Genomic DNA, 15,892 nt, shown 5'->3' on the forward strand with positions numbered 1-15,892 from the left:
TGACACGACTGTAGTCTTTTTTTTTTTTTTCAGGCTTAATTCACTTTATTTTTCTTGTATAAAAACCCTGTGTTGTAGCCACAGCTGGAGCCTGGGTCCTCTGCATGGAGACTCTGGTGTGGGTCTTGACGAGATGGTCAGTGAATTCCTGACAGGAAGACTTGATGAATACAGTCTCCTTCCAGAGGTCGGGGGTCAGGTAGCTGTAGGTCTTAGAGATGGCATCAAAGGTGTCCTTGGTATAGTTACCCAGGGCGGCAGTGTAGCCCCTGGCTAAGGTGTAGCAGTCATCAATACCAGCCATCATAAGCAGCTTCTTGGGTACAGGCACTGAGACGATGCCAGTGCCTCTGGGCGTAGGGATGAGGCGCACCAGCACAGAGCCGTGGTGGCCTGTCGGCTTGCAAGGGATGGTGTGGGGCTTGCTGATCTTGTTCCCCCAGTAGCCTCTGTGCACAGGGACAATAGAGAGCTTGGCCAGGATGATGGCCCCGTGGATGGCAGTGGCCACCTCCTTGGAGCACTTAACACCCAGACCGATGTGGCCATTGTAGTCCACGATGGCAACAAACATCTTGAACCTGGTGCGCTGGCCGGCACGGGTCTGCTTCTGCACTGGCATAATCTTCAAAACCTCGTCCTTGAGAGAGGCCCCCAGGAAAAAGTTAGTGATCTCAGATTCCTTCATGGGCAGGGAGAAGACATACATCTCCTCCAGGGACTTGATCTTCATGTGCTTGACCAGGCGGCCCAGCTTGGTGATAGGCATCCACTCTTTATCCTCGGCCTTGCCTCCATGAGCTCTGCGGCCTCAGCCGCGGCCTCAGCCCCAGCCCCGGCCCCGGATGCCACTGCCGAAACCTCCACGGAAGCCACTGCATTTCCCCATCCCAGGCGATCCCCACCACCGGCTGCCACCAGCATCATCTGCCATTTGGTGTTTTCTCAGAGAAGCATCTATTTTTGTTTTTGTTGTGCATGTGTGCTTTTGGTGTCATAGCCAGGAAATCATCACTTAGTCCAGTGTCATGAAGAGTTTCCCCTATGTTTTCTTCTAGTTTTATGGTTTTCAGATGTTAACATTTAGTTTTTAATCCATTTTGTGTTAATTTTTGTATATTTTTGCCCATATTTAAAACTTTAGTGAAATAACATAATTTAACATTATTTGTCAGCATTGTTGCCTCTGTTTACCAAGTGGGCTTAGAGCCTCTAATGTAACATATATATATATATATATATATATATATATATATATTTTTTTTTTTTTTTGAGATGGAGTTTCGCTCTTCTTATGCAGGCTGGAGTGCAGTGGTGCGATCTTGGCTCACTGCAACCTCTGCCTCCCGGGTTCAAGCAATTCTCCTGCCTCAGCCTCCTGAGTAGCTGGGATTACAGGTGTATGCCACCACATCTGGCTAATATTTGTATTTTTAGTAGAGACGGGGTTTCACCATGTTGGCCAGGCTGATCTCGAACTCCTGAGCTCAGATGATCCACCCGCCTTTGCCTCCCAAAGGGCTGGGATTACAGACGTGAGCCACCGCGCCCAGCCCATATCTTCATTTTAAGAAACATTGTTATCTACTATTGGTCCAGCAAAACGTGTGTGCATGAAACAAAGATATGGCAGTAGAAGGGTAAATACTATAGTAAGAAGTCTAGGCCGGGCGTGGTGGCTGATGCTTGTAATCCCAACACTTTGGGAGGCTGAGGTGGAGGGATCACTTTGAGGTCAGAAGTTCAAGACCAGCCTGGCCAACATGGTGAAACCCCATCTGCACTAAAAACACAAAAATCAGCCCAGTGTGGTGGTGGGCGCATGCAATCCCTCCTACTCAGGAGTCTGAGGTACGAGAATTGCTTGAACCTGGGGGGCGGTGGTTGCAGTGAGCCATGATTGTCCCGCTGCACTCTAGCTTAGTTTAGGCGGACAGATCCTCTGAGTTCAAGAGTTCAAGACCAGCCTGGCCAACTTGGCGAAACCCTGTCTCTACTAAAAAATACAAAAAATTTGCTGGGTGTAGTGGTGGGCGCCTGTAATCCCAGCGACTCGGGAGACTGAGGCAGGAGAATCGCTTGAACCCAGGAGGCAGAGGTTACAGTGAGCCTCGATGGCGCCACTGCACTCCAGCCTGGGCAACAGAGAGAGACTCTGTCTCAAAAAAAAAAAAAAAAAAAAAAAAAAAAAAAATATATATATATGTGTGTGTGTGTGTGTGTGTGTGTGTGTGTGTGTATATGTATATATGTATATGTATATATATGTATATATATGTGTATATATATATATATAGCATAGGCAACTTAAACCATGCCAGAGGGAATTGAAAATAGGGACCTACAGGAGAAACAAGAAAGAATGAATACTAGTTGGCTCTACTCAATAGGAAGACCCAGGGAGAAGTTGGAATTAACTCAGATTTCCAGCCTGGGTGACTCTGAATGGCTGTGAATGGCAGTGTTCTTATTAACAGGGATTGAGAAGGCACATAGGAATAGAACAGCATTACCCTTGGACAGTGAATTTAAGGTGTTGCCTATTGGACATCTGCCATGTCTTGTCACTTTTCGATATGGGTCTGGCCCTCAGGCAATAGCAGAGATTTGAATGGAGCTGTAGAGTCACAAGTCATCTTTATAGACATGTTAGTTGAAGCCATACGCATAGATGAGCTCATCTGGGAGATGAATTTAAATCAAAGAGATCAAAATTTCCTTGTTTCACTTAACTAATCTTCTTAGCCATTTACTCTTATTGTGAGCCTGGCTTTTCCACCTGACCAAGTTCTTCTTGTTCCAGGAATTCAAAGATAAAGAAACCAGGCTCTATTATTTCTTTCTGATTGATTGATATTTGGTTTCTAAAAGAAATTTTCTTCCTTCTCTACATTCACAAACTCTTCTATTCTTTTGCCACATTTTATACACTTAAGTTTAAACCAGTTTCCATGTATATTTTGTCTATATTATGTTTGTTATTGAGAAATAGGCATTTTTGGGAAGAAAGAATTTGGCATTTTGGAAATAATCAGAAAATTAAAAAATGCACACACCACTTTCCCATTCTTCTCCCCACCCCAACCCCTACCCCTATCCTCAAATGCTTAGCTAGTGAAATATTAAAATGTTGTAATAGAAATTGGAGTCAAGGTCTCCTTGCTGAAGAGACCATCTATTTTCAGAGACTGGAAGGAGAGAGAACAAACCAATCAAGAGTCATTGGTTTGTTGCCTCTATTGTTTTATTTCTGACCTGCGCAAATAGCTTTTGAAGTGGAGATATGCTAGTTCTTGGCAACTAATACTTTTCTGGGCATGCATTTTATGAAATAATAGGTATGTATCTGCCTCATTCTTTTAGGCTATGTGTTTCTCTAGTTTAAAAATAATTTGCCAATGAAGGTCTATCTGTATTTATGCAATCCCTAAATTTGTATTTACCTTATGTGCGTATGTTTTAAATGTGTGTATGGAGGCTTATTTTGGATGCTGTAGATGGGAGAGAGTGCCATCATCTAGTACACTGTTATATGCCACAAGAAATAATTGCACAGCCATTTCTTAATTTTAAGGTTTTTCTTTTCAACAGGTTTTGCACTGATTGCAAAAATAAAGTCCTCCGAGCATACAATATCCTTATTGGTGAACTTGACTGCAGCAAAGAAAAGGGCTACTGTGCTGCACTTTATGAAGGCTTGCGGTGCTGTCCACATGAACGACACATACATGTTTGCTGTGAAACAGACTTCATTGCACATCTTTTGGGTCGTGCTGAGCCAGAGTTCGCAGGAGGGTATGAGTATGTAATTTGCTAGAATGGGCTATCTAGCGCTTTGCTTCATTTTATTACTGAAAGTTTATTTTCATCACCTTCTGCCTCAGTACATATGATATATGTATAAATTAAAGTATGCCTGTAAAGATTTTGCTTCTCTTTAAAGTATGCATTTCTTAATTGACTGAAAATAGGGAAAAACTGTTCTCTGGTGTTTGGTTCAGTCCTCTGCTAGTTCTTGCTTGAAGGGAGGCAGGCTTTTTTGGCTTTCATTGTTACAGACTATCATTTTCATTTGAAAATGATTAGAAGGGATTTTTCTCCCTCTATCCATGCATTATCATGTGTAAATTTTATTCACAATAATGGTTTTTGCATAAGTCAGATCTTTGCAGTAGGGGATTAAGAAATGCCTTATTGAATGTAATTCACGAACTGTGTATATTATATTATTATTACTACACAGAAACCTAAAGTAGTATCTCTGGCTTTGTTGTAAAAATAAAATCAGATGATGATGTTAATAGAATAAATCAAATGCATTTCCTTTTGTATTTAGGGTATCAACCCTCATTTGAGTGCCTACTTTCTGCTAGAATACAAAGGGCTTTTTTATCGCCAAAGTTCTGTGAACACTTGTAAAGACTGGCCTGGTGGAGGACTCTTGCCCATGATGAATCACTTTGGCATTGCCTTTCTCAATTCCTCCTCAAAACAAAAAACCTAAAGAAGGAAAAAATGTTTTGCTATAATTGGAAAGTAAAAGGAACTGTTGTGTCTACTATGAGCTGGACACTTCTATGTGATTGCTTTGTGCCCTAAAACCCATCTTTTTAGAGCCAGTTCCTGAATTACTTTATTTTTAGCAATACGAGGACTAAATTCTACTTGCATGTGTATTTCTCATTGGTTGTGGACATGCATGCTTGTATAGCAACATATACGTTGAGTGTAAATGTATAACTGTCTTGTTACTAGGTAAGCACATTGTGTTTAAAACCTGAACTTGCAGCTGTGTTATCCATCTTTTACTGTTTCAGTTAAAGGTATTAGTGTGTGATTATTCCCTTTTATAGGCGAAGAGAAAGGCATGCAAAGACAATAGATATAGCTCAAGAAGAAGTTCTGACCTGCTTGGGAATTCATCTTTATGAAAGACTGCATCGAATCTGGCAGAAGCTACGGGCAGAAGAGCAGACATGGCAGATGCTTTTCTATCTTGGTGTTGATGCTTTACGCAAGAGTTTTGAGGTAAGAACAGTGGGCTGTTCCAGTATCTCAGATTGCTTAGTCACGTTATTGGACTGAATCTTAATGTAAGCCACCAGTGCCTAAAAGGACTGTCCATCACTGATAGAGCTTCATGGATTTGGCTGGATATTGTTACATGGCTTTGGGTTGGAGTGGGGGTGGTCTAGGGAACTGGGATTTAGAAGAAGTTGATGGATTTAAAAAAATGTTTTTAATCCTGTTAACTTTGCTAGCTTTGGTTTTTAGACTTTCTCAGAGTAGAAAACTGAAGATGTTTAATAAGATGCTGCTATGAAACATAACTAGTGAGGCTGGGCATGGTGGCTTACGCCTGTAATCCCAGCACTTTGGGAGGACGAGGCAGGCGGATCACCTGAGGTCAGGAGTTTGAGACCAGCCTGACCAATATGATGAAACCCCGTCTCTACTAAAAATACAAAAATTAGCTGGGCGTGGTGGCGGGCACCTGTAATCCAGCTACTTGGGAGGCTGAGACAGGAGAGTTGCTTCAACCTGGGAGGTGGAGGTTGCAGTGAGCCAAGATCACGTCACTGCACTCCAGCCTGGGCAACAAGAACAAAACTCCGTCTCAAAACAAAAACAAAAACAAAAACAAAACAAAAAAAACACACATAACTAGTGAAAAGTTAAATGCCCCCAAGGATTAAGCAGGAAATGTTAAAACCTTCAGTGAGTTTCATTTTGCCTGCTAATGTCCAGTAGTATGAAGTAAATGCTGTGTGAATGCCATGGTATAAGGACTATTTTTCTTTCTTTCTTTTCTTTTCTTTTCTTTTTTTTTTTTTGAGACGGAGCCTCGCTCTGTTACCCAGGCTGGAGTGCAGTGGCATGATCTCGGCTCACTGCAAGCTCCACCTCCTGGGTTCACACCATTCTCCTGGCTCAGCCTCCCGAGTAGCTGGGACTGCAGGCGCCCGCCACCACGCTCGGCTAATTTTTTGTGTATTTTTAGTAGAGACAGGGTTTCACCATGTTAGTTAGGATGGTCTCAATCTCCTGACCTCGTGATCCGCTGCCTGCCTTGGCCTCCCAAAGTGCTGGGATTACAGGCATGAGCCACGGCGCCCAGCCCTTACTCGTTTTCTCTTTGTATTTTTGTACCTTCAGAGACTAGATCATCTAATCAGGTTAAATAGTTTTTTCATTATGTCAGTAAATGGTATGTTTACTTTTGTTGTGTTAAAATTCTGAAATTTAGGCCAGATATGGTGTCTCATGCCTGTAATCCCAGCACTTTGGGAGGCCAAGGTGGGCGGATCACTTGAGGCCAGGAGTTCGAGACCAACCTGGCCATGATGGCGAAACCCTGTCTCTACTAAATATACAAAAATCAGCCAGTGTGGTGGCGCATGCCTGTGGTCTCAGCTACTTGAGAGGCTGAGGCAGGAGAATCGCTTGAACCTGGGTGGTAGAGGTTGCAGTGAACTGAGATGGTGCCACTGTACTCCAGCCTGGGCGATGGAGCAAGACTCTGTCTCAAAAAAAAAAAAAATTCTGAAATTTAAAACTAGAATCTTGCTGGTTTGGAATAGGAGTGTGTATATTACCACAGAAAACAAAGGGACCGGGCACGGTGGCTCACGCCTGTAATCCCAGCACTTCGGGAGGCTGAGGCGGGTGGATCACGAGGTCAGGAGATCGAGACCATCCTGGCTAACACGGTGAAACCCCGTCTCTACTAAAAAATACAAAAAATTAGCCGGGCGTGGTGGCGGGCACCTGTAGTCCCAGCTACTTAGGAGGCTGAGGCAGGAGAATGGCGTGAACCCAGGAGGTGGAGCTTGCAGTGAGCTGAGATCATGCCACTGCACTCCAGTCTGGGCGACAGAGCAAGATTCCGTCTCAAAAAAAAAAGAAAAGAAGTTCTGACCAATATTCACCCTCAACCTTATTTTTATAATAGATGACCGTGGAAAAAGTACAGGGTATTAGCAGATTGGAACAACTTTGTGAGGAATTTTCAGAAGAGGAACGAGTAAGAGAACTCAAGCAAGAAAAGAAACGCCAAAAACGGAAGAATAGACGAAAAAATAAGTGTGTGTGTGATATTCCTACTCCCTTACAAACAGCAGATGAAAAGGAAGTAAGCCAAGAGAAGGTAATATTTCTTAATATCAACTCTTAAGTGTGTATGTATTGCTTGTAGATAGAAGTACAGGCCAGGTGTGGTGGCTCACGCCTGTGATCCCAGCACTTTGGGAGGCCCAGGGTGGAGGTATCACTTGAGCCTAGGAGTTTGGGACCAGCCTGGGCAAGATAGTGAGATCTCTATCTCTATTTATTTTATTTTATTTTTTTAATAAAAATAAAAAGTACAGTCGTCCCTTGGTATCTGTGGGGTTTGATTCCAGGACTTCCTGTAGATACCAAAATCTGCAGATGTGCAAGTCCCTGATGTAAAATGGTGTAATATTTGCATATAGTCTATGCACATCCTCCTTATACTTTTATTTCTGAGACAGGGTCTCACTCTGTCACCCGGACTGGAGTGCAGTGGCACAATCATGGCTCACTGCAGCGTTCATCTCCCAGGCTCATGTCATCTTCCCACCTCAGCTTCCCAAGTGGCTGGAACTACAGGCTTACCCCACCAGGCCCAGCTAATTTTTTGTATTTATTGTAGAGATGGCGTTTTACCATGTTGTTCAGGCTGGTCTCCAGCTTGTGGGCTCAAGCAATTCTCCCACCTCAGCCTCCCAAAATGCTACAATTACAGGCATGAACCACCGTGCCTGGCCTCTTGTATTCTTAAATTATCTCTAAATTATAATACCTAATGCAATGTAAAAGCTATGTAAGGCTGGGCATGGTGGCTCACGCCTGTAATCCCAGCTACTTGGGAGGCTGAGGCATGAGAATTTCTTGAACCCAGGAGGCAAAGGTTGCAGTGAGCCAAGATCGCTCCACTGCAGTCCAGCCTGGGCGACAGAGTGAAACTCTCTCAAAATAAATAAAAACTGTTTAAATAGTTGTTATACTGTATTGTTTAGAAAATAAGGACAAGAAAAAAGTCTGTACATGTTCAGTACAGATGCAGGTTGATTTTTTCCCCCCCAAATATTTTCGATTCTTGGTTGAATTTATGGATGCAGCACCCACAGATATGGAGGGTTAACTGTATGGCTTTTTGCTAGATTTGGGCATTTTTACTATGCTTTTCCAGATGTGAGCTCCTGCAGTTTTTATATCAGCTTTTTTCCTACTGTAGTCTGTATAAGCCAGAATTTTAATGTCATGTCTATGTTTTATTAAGACAATGTTGAGTAGTTATCTCTTTACCTGACTTTAATGTATTATTAGATCAAAGTCAAAATATAGAAAGCCACCTCTGTGCATGACCTAGAGCAGTTCTCAAGTTTTTGGTCTTAGGATCCCTTTACATTCTTAAAAATTAAGGTACTCAATGAGCTTTTGTTTATGTGGGTTATACTTACCAATATTTACTGTATTAGAAATTAAATGATAAATTTTAAGCTACTCCTTCAAAAATAATGTTAACTAAATATTTTTTCAAAAATAACTATTTTCTAAATAAAATGAGAGTGAGAAGAATGGTATTATACTATATATATTTTTTGCAAATATCTTTAATGTTCATCTTAAAAGGAATAAGCTAGATTCCTTTTTTTTTTGAGACAGAGTCTCGCTCTGTTGCCAGGCTGGAGTGCAGTGGCATGATCTCGGCTCACTGCAACCTCCGCCTCTCGGGTTCAAGCAATTCTCCTGCCTCAGCCACCCAAGTAGCTGGGGCTACAGGCGTGTGCCACCATGCCCGGCTAATTTTTGTATTTTTAGTAGAGACAGGGTTTCACCATGTTGGCCAGGATGGCCTCGATCTCTTGACCTCGTGATCCGCCCGCCTCAGCCTCCCAAAGTGCTGGGATTACAGGTGTGAGCCACCGCGCCTGACGGAATATACTAGATTCTTATATCTGCTTCTGCATTCAATCTGTTTCCATTTATTGGCTTGGTTGAAGCATATGAAGAAAGTCTAGTCTCACACAGATATTATATGGTAGGAAAAGTATTTTATTTTGGAGCAGAGTCTTGCTCTGTCACCCATGCTGGATTGCAGTGGCACAATCTTGGTTCACCGTAACTTCCTCCTCCTGGGTTCAAGCGATTTTTGTGCCTCAGCCTCCCAAGTAGCTGGGACTACAGGCGCCTACCACCATGCCCGGCTAATTTTTTTTTGTATTTTTAGTAGAGATGGGGTTTTGCCTTGTTGCCCAGGCTGGTCTCGAACTCCTGAGCTTAGGCAGTCTGCCCGCTTCTGCCTCCCAAAGTGCTGGGATTACAGGAATAAGCCACTGTGCCTGGCTGGGAGCAGTATTTTAATATAAACCTTTTCAGATAGTTGTGGATATTCTTCAATACTACACTTTGACCAGTGGTAGTTTCTAAAAGATTCATTGCAATATGGAATCTGGCACCTTATCAATGACCTTTTTGTACTCTGTTAAATTAGAATCCGTTGGACTATATTGGACTTTGAATAGATCTTTTACTCATGCATTGTTTTGTAACATCATGCATTGGAATTTATTTCAAAGTTCACTGAATTATGCAGGTCAGAAAAGTCCAAGTATTAGGAAGCTTCAAGTTCATAGCACTGCTGGTTGCAAGGCCAAAATTCTGATTGTTGTTTCAATGTTTGAGTTTTGTCATTGACAACAGTTGTTGTTCATTGTTTCCTTTGAAGTAACAGATTGACTTCATTCATTTTTGAGAAAATGCCTGCTAAATATCCAAGTCTCTCAGTTTGTCTCTCATTTATTCGTTCAAGTGAACTTGATGTTCCAGGAAAAAAGTTCAGCTTGCACCTCAAAAAGTGGCACAAGTACGTTTCCTTGAGACAGCTGCAATAGAAATGCTTTAAGCATACTTCCCATTTGTCACATACTTTTTTTTTTTTGAGACGGAGTCTCACTCTGTCGCCCACAGTGGAGTGCGGTGGTGTGATCTTGGCTCACTGCAGGCTCTGCCGTCCGTGTTCAAGCAATTCTCCTGCCTCAGCCTCCTGAGTAGCTGGGATTACATGCGCCTGCCACCTTGCCCGGCTAATTTTTGTATTTTTAGTAGAGACGGGGTCTCACCATCTTGGCTAGGCTGGTTTTGAACTCCTGACCTCAAGTGATCCACCTGCTTCAGCTGCCCATAGTGCTGGGATTACAGGCATGAGCCACTGCACCTGGCCCCACATAGACTGTCAAAAAGATTTCTGTTGACAGGGCGTGGAGGCTCATGCCTGTAATCCTAGCACTTTGGGAAGCCATGGCAGAAGGATTGCTTAAGGCCAGGAGTTCAAGAGTTCAAGACTAGCCTGGGCAACATAACGAAACCCTGTCTCTACAAAGGAATAAAAAAATTAGGCCTGGTGGTGTGCTTCTGTAGTCCTAGCTACTTGAGAGGCTGAGGCAGAAGGATTGCTTGAGCCCAGGAGTTTGAGGCTGCAGTAAGCCATGATTGTATGACTGTACTCTAGCCTAAGTGACAGAGGGAGACCGTACTCAAAAAAAAAAAAAAAGGAAAAAGTATATGTATTTGTGGTTGATATCTGATACAATTAATATTTTTACAGCTTCCTCAGAGACATTCATAAGTGAAATATCTTTTTGTGAGAGCGCTTGACAGTTGAAGAATACAGTGATTCTTAGCACACTTTGGTTAGTACTGTCTTGATTTGTGCTAAGGACTAATATCTTTACCCACCATTACTTTTGTACTGTCAGTGTAAATGTCAGTACAGTGAAAATGCCACATCTTACTATTAGGATGAAAATAGTTTTGATCTAGGGAATAAAATGTAGCTGTTATGGAGTAAAGCTCTTGACTCTCTCTTAATGTTGATCCTTAAAGGAAACAGACTTCATAGAAAATAGCAGCTGCAAAGCCTGTGGCAGCACTGAAGATGGTAATACTTGTGTAGAAGTAATTGTTACCAATGAAAATACATCATGTACCTGTCCTAGCAGTGGCAATCTTTTGGGGTCCCCTAAAATAAAGAAAGGTAAGTAAATAATTTCTTTTTAAAATGAACTCTTAACTCTATTCTTTCTTACTGTTAAATGTAAGAGCTTTTAGAGATTCTGTGAGCTAGAATTTTAAAACTGCTTTATAGTTCCAAGAATATCATATAATTTAGTCAGATACTTAATATTTCCTTTTTCTTTATGTTCTTTGACTTATTTTTGACAAAAACGAAAAATGGTAAATTCCTAATCATATTTTCATTATTTAATTTACTTTCTACTTAAAAAAAAAATCCTTCATTGGAAATGTTCTACTTTTAATAAGCCATTAATTATGAGATTTTTCTGTGGTCCCCAAAGAGTTCACTCTTTGTCCTAATATACTTATTGGTATGTTAATAGTAACTCTCACTTGATTTATTCTCAGGCTTATCTCCACACTGTAATGGTAGTGATTGTGGATATTCATCTAGCATGGAAGGGAGTGAAACAGGTTCTCGGGAGGGTTCGGATGTTGCCTGCACTGAAGGCATTTGTAATCATGATGAACACGGTAGGCTCACATTAAGTTTCCCAGTTATTTCTACTACATGGCTGACTTAAGAACATAAATAAGAAGGATTATTGATTTCTGCAGGTGATGACTCTTGTGTTCATCACTGTGAAGACAAAGAGGATGATGGTGATAGTTGTGTTGAATGTTGGGCAAATTCTGAAGAGAACGACACAAAAGGAAAAAATAAAAAGAAGAAGAAGAAAAGCAAGATACTGAAATGTGATGAACATGTAAGTGTCATAACTTGTAATTCTTAAACCTTTGCTGTTGAGGACAGAACACGTGTTTTCCTTGGAGTGGCATATGTGCAGCTTAGCTGCTAGGATTTACTTTTTTTAGAATGAGTTCTTTATGCAGTTCCATTGGGTGCTCATCGTGTGAGAGTGTGGGTTGGGGGCAGAGAGAGATGTGATCATTTGTGCAACAGTCCTTGTGAGTCAGAAATTCAATTGTTCTTTTTATACTTTTAAAATTATAAGCTGTGTAATCTTAAACAATTTGTTTAGTCCCTATCATATTAGGTTCTATGAAGGTGAAGTGAATGTATATTGGCAGGTGTGGCATAGTGTCTAGTACATAGTAAGTGCCTGGTAAAATAAAATGAATGCCAGCTGCTACTATTACTTAGTATTCCTTCTAAAGGTTTAATACTATGTCAGGATTTTTTTGAGATGGAGTCTCACTCTGTCGCCTATACTAGAGTACAGTGGCATAATCTTGGCTCACTGCAACCTCTGCCTCCCAGGTTCAAACAATTCTCCTGCCTCAGCTTCCTGAGTAGCTGGGATTACAGGCGCATGCCACCATGGCTGGCTAATTTTTGCATTTTTAGTAGAGATGGCATTTGACCATGTTGGCCAGGCTGGTCTTGAACACTTGACCTCAGGTGATCCACCTGCCTCGGCCTCCCAAAATGTTGAGATTGTAGGCATGAGCCACCGTGCCCCGCTTTTTTTTTTTTTTTTTTAAAGAATAATTGCTATTATATCATGCCTTTTTACCTGTGAAATCCTTTGCTGTGGTATCAGATCCAGAAGCTTGGAAGCTGTATTACAGATCCAGGTAATCGAGAGACCTCAGGAAATACCATGCACACAGTGTTTCACCGTGACAAGACCAAAGATACACATCCTGAAAGCTGTTGCAGCTCTGAAAAGGGTGGGCAGCCATTGCCTTGGTTTGAGCATAGGAAAAATGTACCACAGTTTGCAGAACCTACAGAAACGTTGTTTGGTCCCGATTCCGGAAAAGGTGCCAAGAGCTTAGTTGAACTCCTTGTAAGTATTCCATGTGGTCTTACTGTACATAACTGTTTGGGAACGGGGTGGATGTGGGAGGGGATAGTATTTGAGGGCTTAAGGTAGGTAGTTGAAGGAAGCTTATGAGAAATTAAGGGTAGTATTTCATTATTGTTTGGGGACTTCATTTCTGTCCTTCCACTCGTGGTTTATGCAACTACTCTGGAACACGTTTCCATGGCCGCCTCTGTCTCAGTAGAAGACATTATAGGTATTCCTTGAGTTACAGTGGGGTTACATTCCAATAAACCCATTATAACTCAAAAATACTGCGAGTTGAAAATACATTCAACATCCCAATAAACCCTTTGTAAAGTTAAAAAAAAAAAATCCCAAATAAGGCTGGGTGCAGTGGCTCATGCTTGTAATCCCAGCACTTTGGGAGACCGAGGTGGGTGGATCATGAGGTCAAGAGATCAAGACCATCCTGGCCAATATGATGAAACCCCGTCTCTACTAAAAATACAAAAATTAGCTGGGCATGGTGGCGTGTGCCAGTAGTCCCAGCTACCCGGGAGGCTAAGGCAGGAGAATCACTTGAAGCCAGGAGGCGGAGGTTTCAGTGAGCTGAGATCGTGCCACTGCAGTCCAGCCTGGCGACAGAGTGAGACTTTGTCTCAAAAAAAACCTGAGTAGAACCATTGACCATTGTTAAGTCAGGACCATCTGTAGTTAGGAGAAAGGATAGAGGTAGCATTGTATTCAGTAGTCTGCCTCCTTGAAGTAGGTTACTGTAAGCAAACTTTGCCTTTCTGATTGGCAAGTTATGGTAGCCACCCTTCCATACCAGAAAGAATATACAATTTGAACTAGAGGTTGCTTTCTTCTTTTAGGTGTCATGTAGGGTAAGACTCCAGTCCTGAGACTTTTTACCTGATCCCCAACTGACCCAGTGCGTAGTATAGGTGGCCCTTGGAGGAGGGGAGGAAGAAGAGTGGTGTCCTTTTCATTAGAGTCCTGATGGAACCAAATCCTTCGGAATACTAGCTTTTTTCTTTTTCTTTTTTTTGAGGTGGAGTTTTGCTCTGTTGCCCAGGCTGGAGTGCGATGGTGCGATCTCGGCTAATCGCAACCTCCGCCTCCCAGGTTCAAGCGATTCTCTGGCTTCAGCCTCCCGAGTAGCTGGGACTACAGGCTTGTGCCACCATGCCTGGCTAATTTTGTATTTTTAGTAGAGATGGGTTTCTCCATGTTGGTCAGGCTGGTCTCGAACTCCCAACCTCAGGTGATCTGCCCACCTCAGCCTCCCAAAGTGCTGGGATTACAGGCGTGAGCCACCGCGCCCAGCTAGTTTTTTTCTTTTTTATGGTTGTAAAGTTTAGTTTTAATATTTATTTATTTTTTTTTTTTGAGGAGTCTCGCTCTGTCGCCCAGGCTAGATAGAGTGCAGTGGCACGATCTTGGCTCACTGTAGCCTCTGCCTCCAAGGTTCAAGTGATTCTCCTGCCTCAGCCTCCCAAAATGCTGGGATTACAGGTGTGAGCCACCACCTGTATAAGTTTAATGTTTAAAAGTTTTAATGGTTGTAAAAGTTTACTTCTTAAGTAGAAAATGGTTATCTTTTACTTAGTTTGTAGAGATGACTGTTTCAAGATAGGACTAACTGGAGATACGTCTGGCTACTTAAAATATGGTAACTAGTTGTAACATCTTTAATTAGTTATTTTTTCAAGGCCAAGGTATGGTGGTAGTTTGCTAGGCTCATAGGCTTCTAGGAGAAATTATAGATTCAAGGTTTCAACTCAAGGAGTTGGATTTTATTCTCACTACTTTCTTAGGCAGAATGACATGATGCTTATTCTGCAAACACTCCAATTAAAGGCTTTATGTGACTGATGTGAAACTAAAAAGTTAGACTGGTTTAATTTTTAGCTGTCCTCCTCCATTACATAACATTTTGCATTCTTAAGTCATAGTCTTAACTACTGCTTTAATTTGCAGGATGAGTCTGAATGTACTTCAGATGAGGAAATCTTTATCTCACAAGATGAAATACAGTCATTTATGGCTAATAACCAGTCTTTCTACAGCAATAGAGAACAATACCGACAGCATCTGAAGGAGAAATTTAATAAATACTGCCGGTTAAATGATCACAAGAGGCCCATTTGTAGTGGCTGGTTGACAACGGCTGGAGCAAATTAAATAAATAAAATAGCTCTGTCTTTCAATGAAACACTCACGATGACTACTGCGCCTTCTCTTTCGAAAAACTCTTAATTTAGTGACTTATGGCAAAATTTTATCTTAAATCAATGTGATTCTTTCTTGTTTTGGGAGACGGTGGAGGTATCCTCATTAGTTCTTTCTTCAGGCTTGTGTCTTTAGTTGCGTGGCTGCGCAGGCCTGCCATATGATTTAAGCCATCTCTTTTCATTAAATGTTTCTCTTCCTGTGAGACTTACTAAAGCAACTTAGTGGCAAAAAGTAATGTTGTACTTATAATTCTGTACAGAAATGACAATGAGCTGAATATATGGTTTTACAAAGTAGACATCCACTTGCAAAATGTTTGGATGTAATGTTAAAGCGCAATGTGCAAAATTTAAAATAAAGAATATTTATTAATACGCACAGTAAAATTTGCTGTACATGTTTCTACTTAATATGTGGCAGTACTTTAGTATTTGCCACTTGTGGACTTGATGCTTGGCCAGTGTTGATGTTAGAAAGGATGAAGGACAGAGATACAGATTGTTGAAGACAAAAATCTTCCTTTGATGAGAATTGACAACTGAGAAAAGCAGTTTTCCAGTCTTTTTCTTTTGAGGAGATACTTTAAATACTTGCTACCATCTTACTTTCCCATGAGACTTTAATTGCTATTATTAAAGGTTCCCTAATACATAATACAAAGTACTTCTTAAATTCAGAGGTTCATATTGACCTAGAAGAATAAAAACAAAACTTGGCAGAATTTCAACCAAGGGTTGCCCGATAAGTAATTGCTCAACATGTAAGACTGGGCTCAGAAGGCTGCACTGAGAGCTAACCACATTGTGGGCTGTTTAAATGCA

The 15,892-nt window shown here is 41.5% G+C and overlaps 1 protein-coding gene and 1 pseudogene across 7 annotated transcripts in view; one reads left to right on the plus strand and one right to left on the minus strand.

The window, feature by feature from the left end:
* Window positions 1-15,457, plus strand: part of GGNBP2 (gametogenetin binding protein 2) — a 44,930-nt gene extending 29,473 nt beyond the window's left edge. For 4 of the 7 annotated variants that reach the window (NM_024835.5, XM_047436774.1, XM_017025107.2 and 1 more), the window contains 8 exons: window positions 3,592-3,795; window positions 4,854-5,028; window positions 6,953-7,147; window positions 10,909-11,059; window positions 11,449-11,574; window positions 11,659-11,807; window positions 12,606-12,854; window positions 14,817-15,457. In NM_024835.5, the coding sequence (NP_079111.1) occupies window positions 3,592-3,795; window positions 4,854-5,028; window positions 6,953-7,147; window positions 10,909-11,059; window positions 11,449-11,574; window positions 11,659-11,807; window positions 12,606-12,854; window positions 14,817-15,020 (1,453 nt within the window). In that variant the 3' untranslated portion in view covers window positions 15,021-15,457. Of the gene's footprint in view, window positions 1-3,591; window positions 3,802-4,853; window positions 5,029-6,952; window positions 7,148-10,908; window positions 11,060-11,448; window positions 11,575-11,658; window positions 11,808-12,605; window positions 12,855-14,816 lie in introns of all 7 variants that reach the window. The other 3 variants (XM_005257689.4, XM_011525266.3, XM_011525265.4) reach the window with 1 other exon arrangement.
* Window positions 31-954, minus strand: RPS2P50 (ribosomal protein S2 pseudogene 50; annotated as a pseudogene).
* Window positions 15,458-15,892: the final 435 nt, after the last annotated feature.

The sequence above is a fragment of the Homo sapiens genome, chromosome 17, assembly GCF_000001405.40.
Source record: "Homo sapiens chromosome 17, GRCh38.p14 Primary Assembly".
Taxonomy (NCBI): Eukaryota; Metazoa; Chordata; class Mammalia; order Primates; family Hominidae; genus Homo; species Homo sapiens.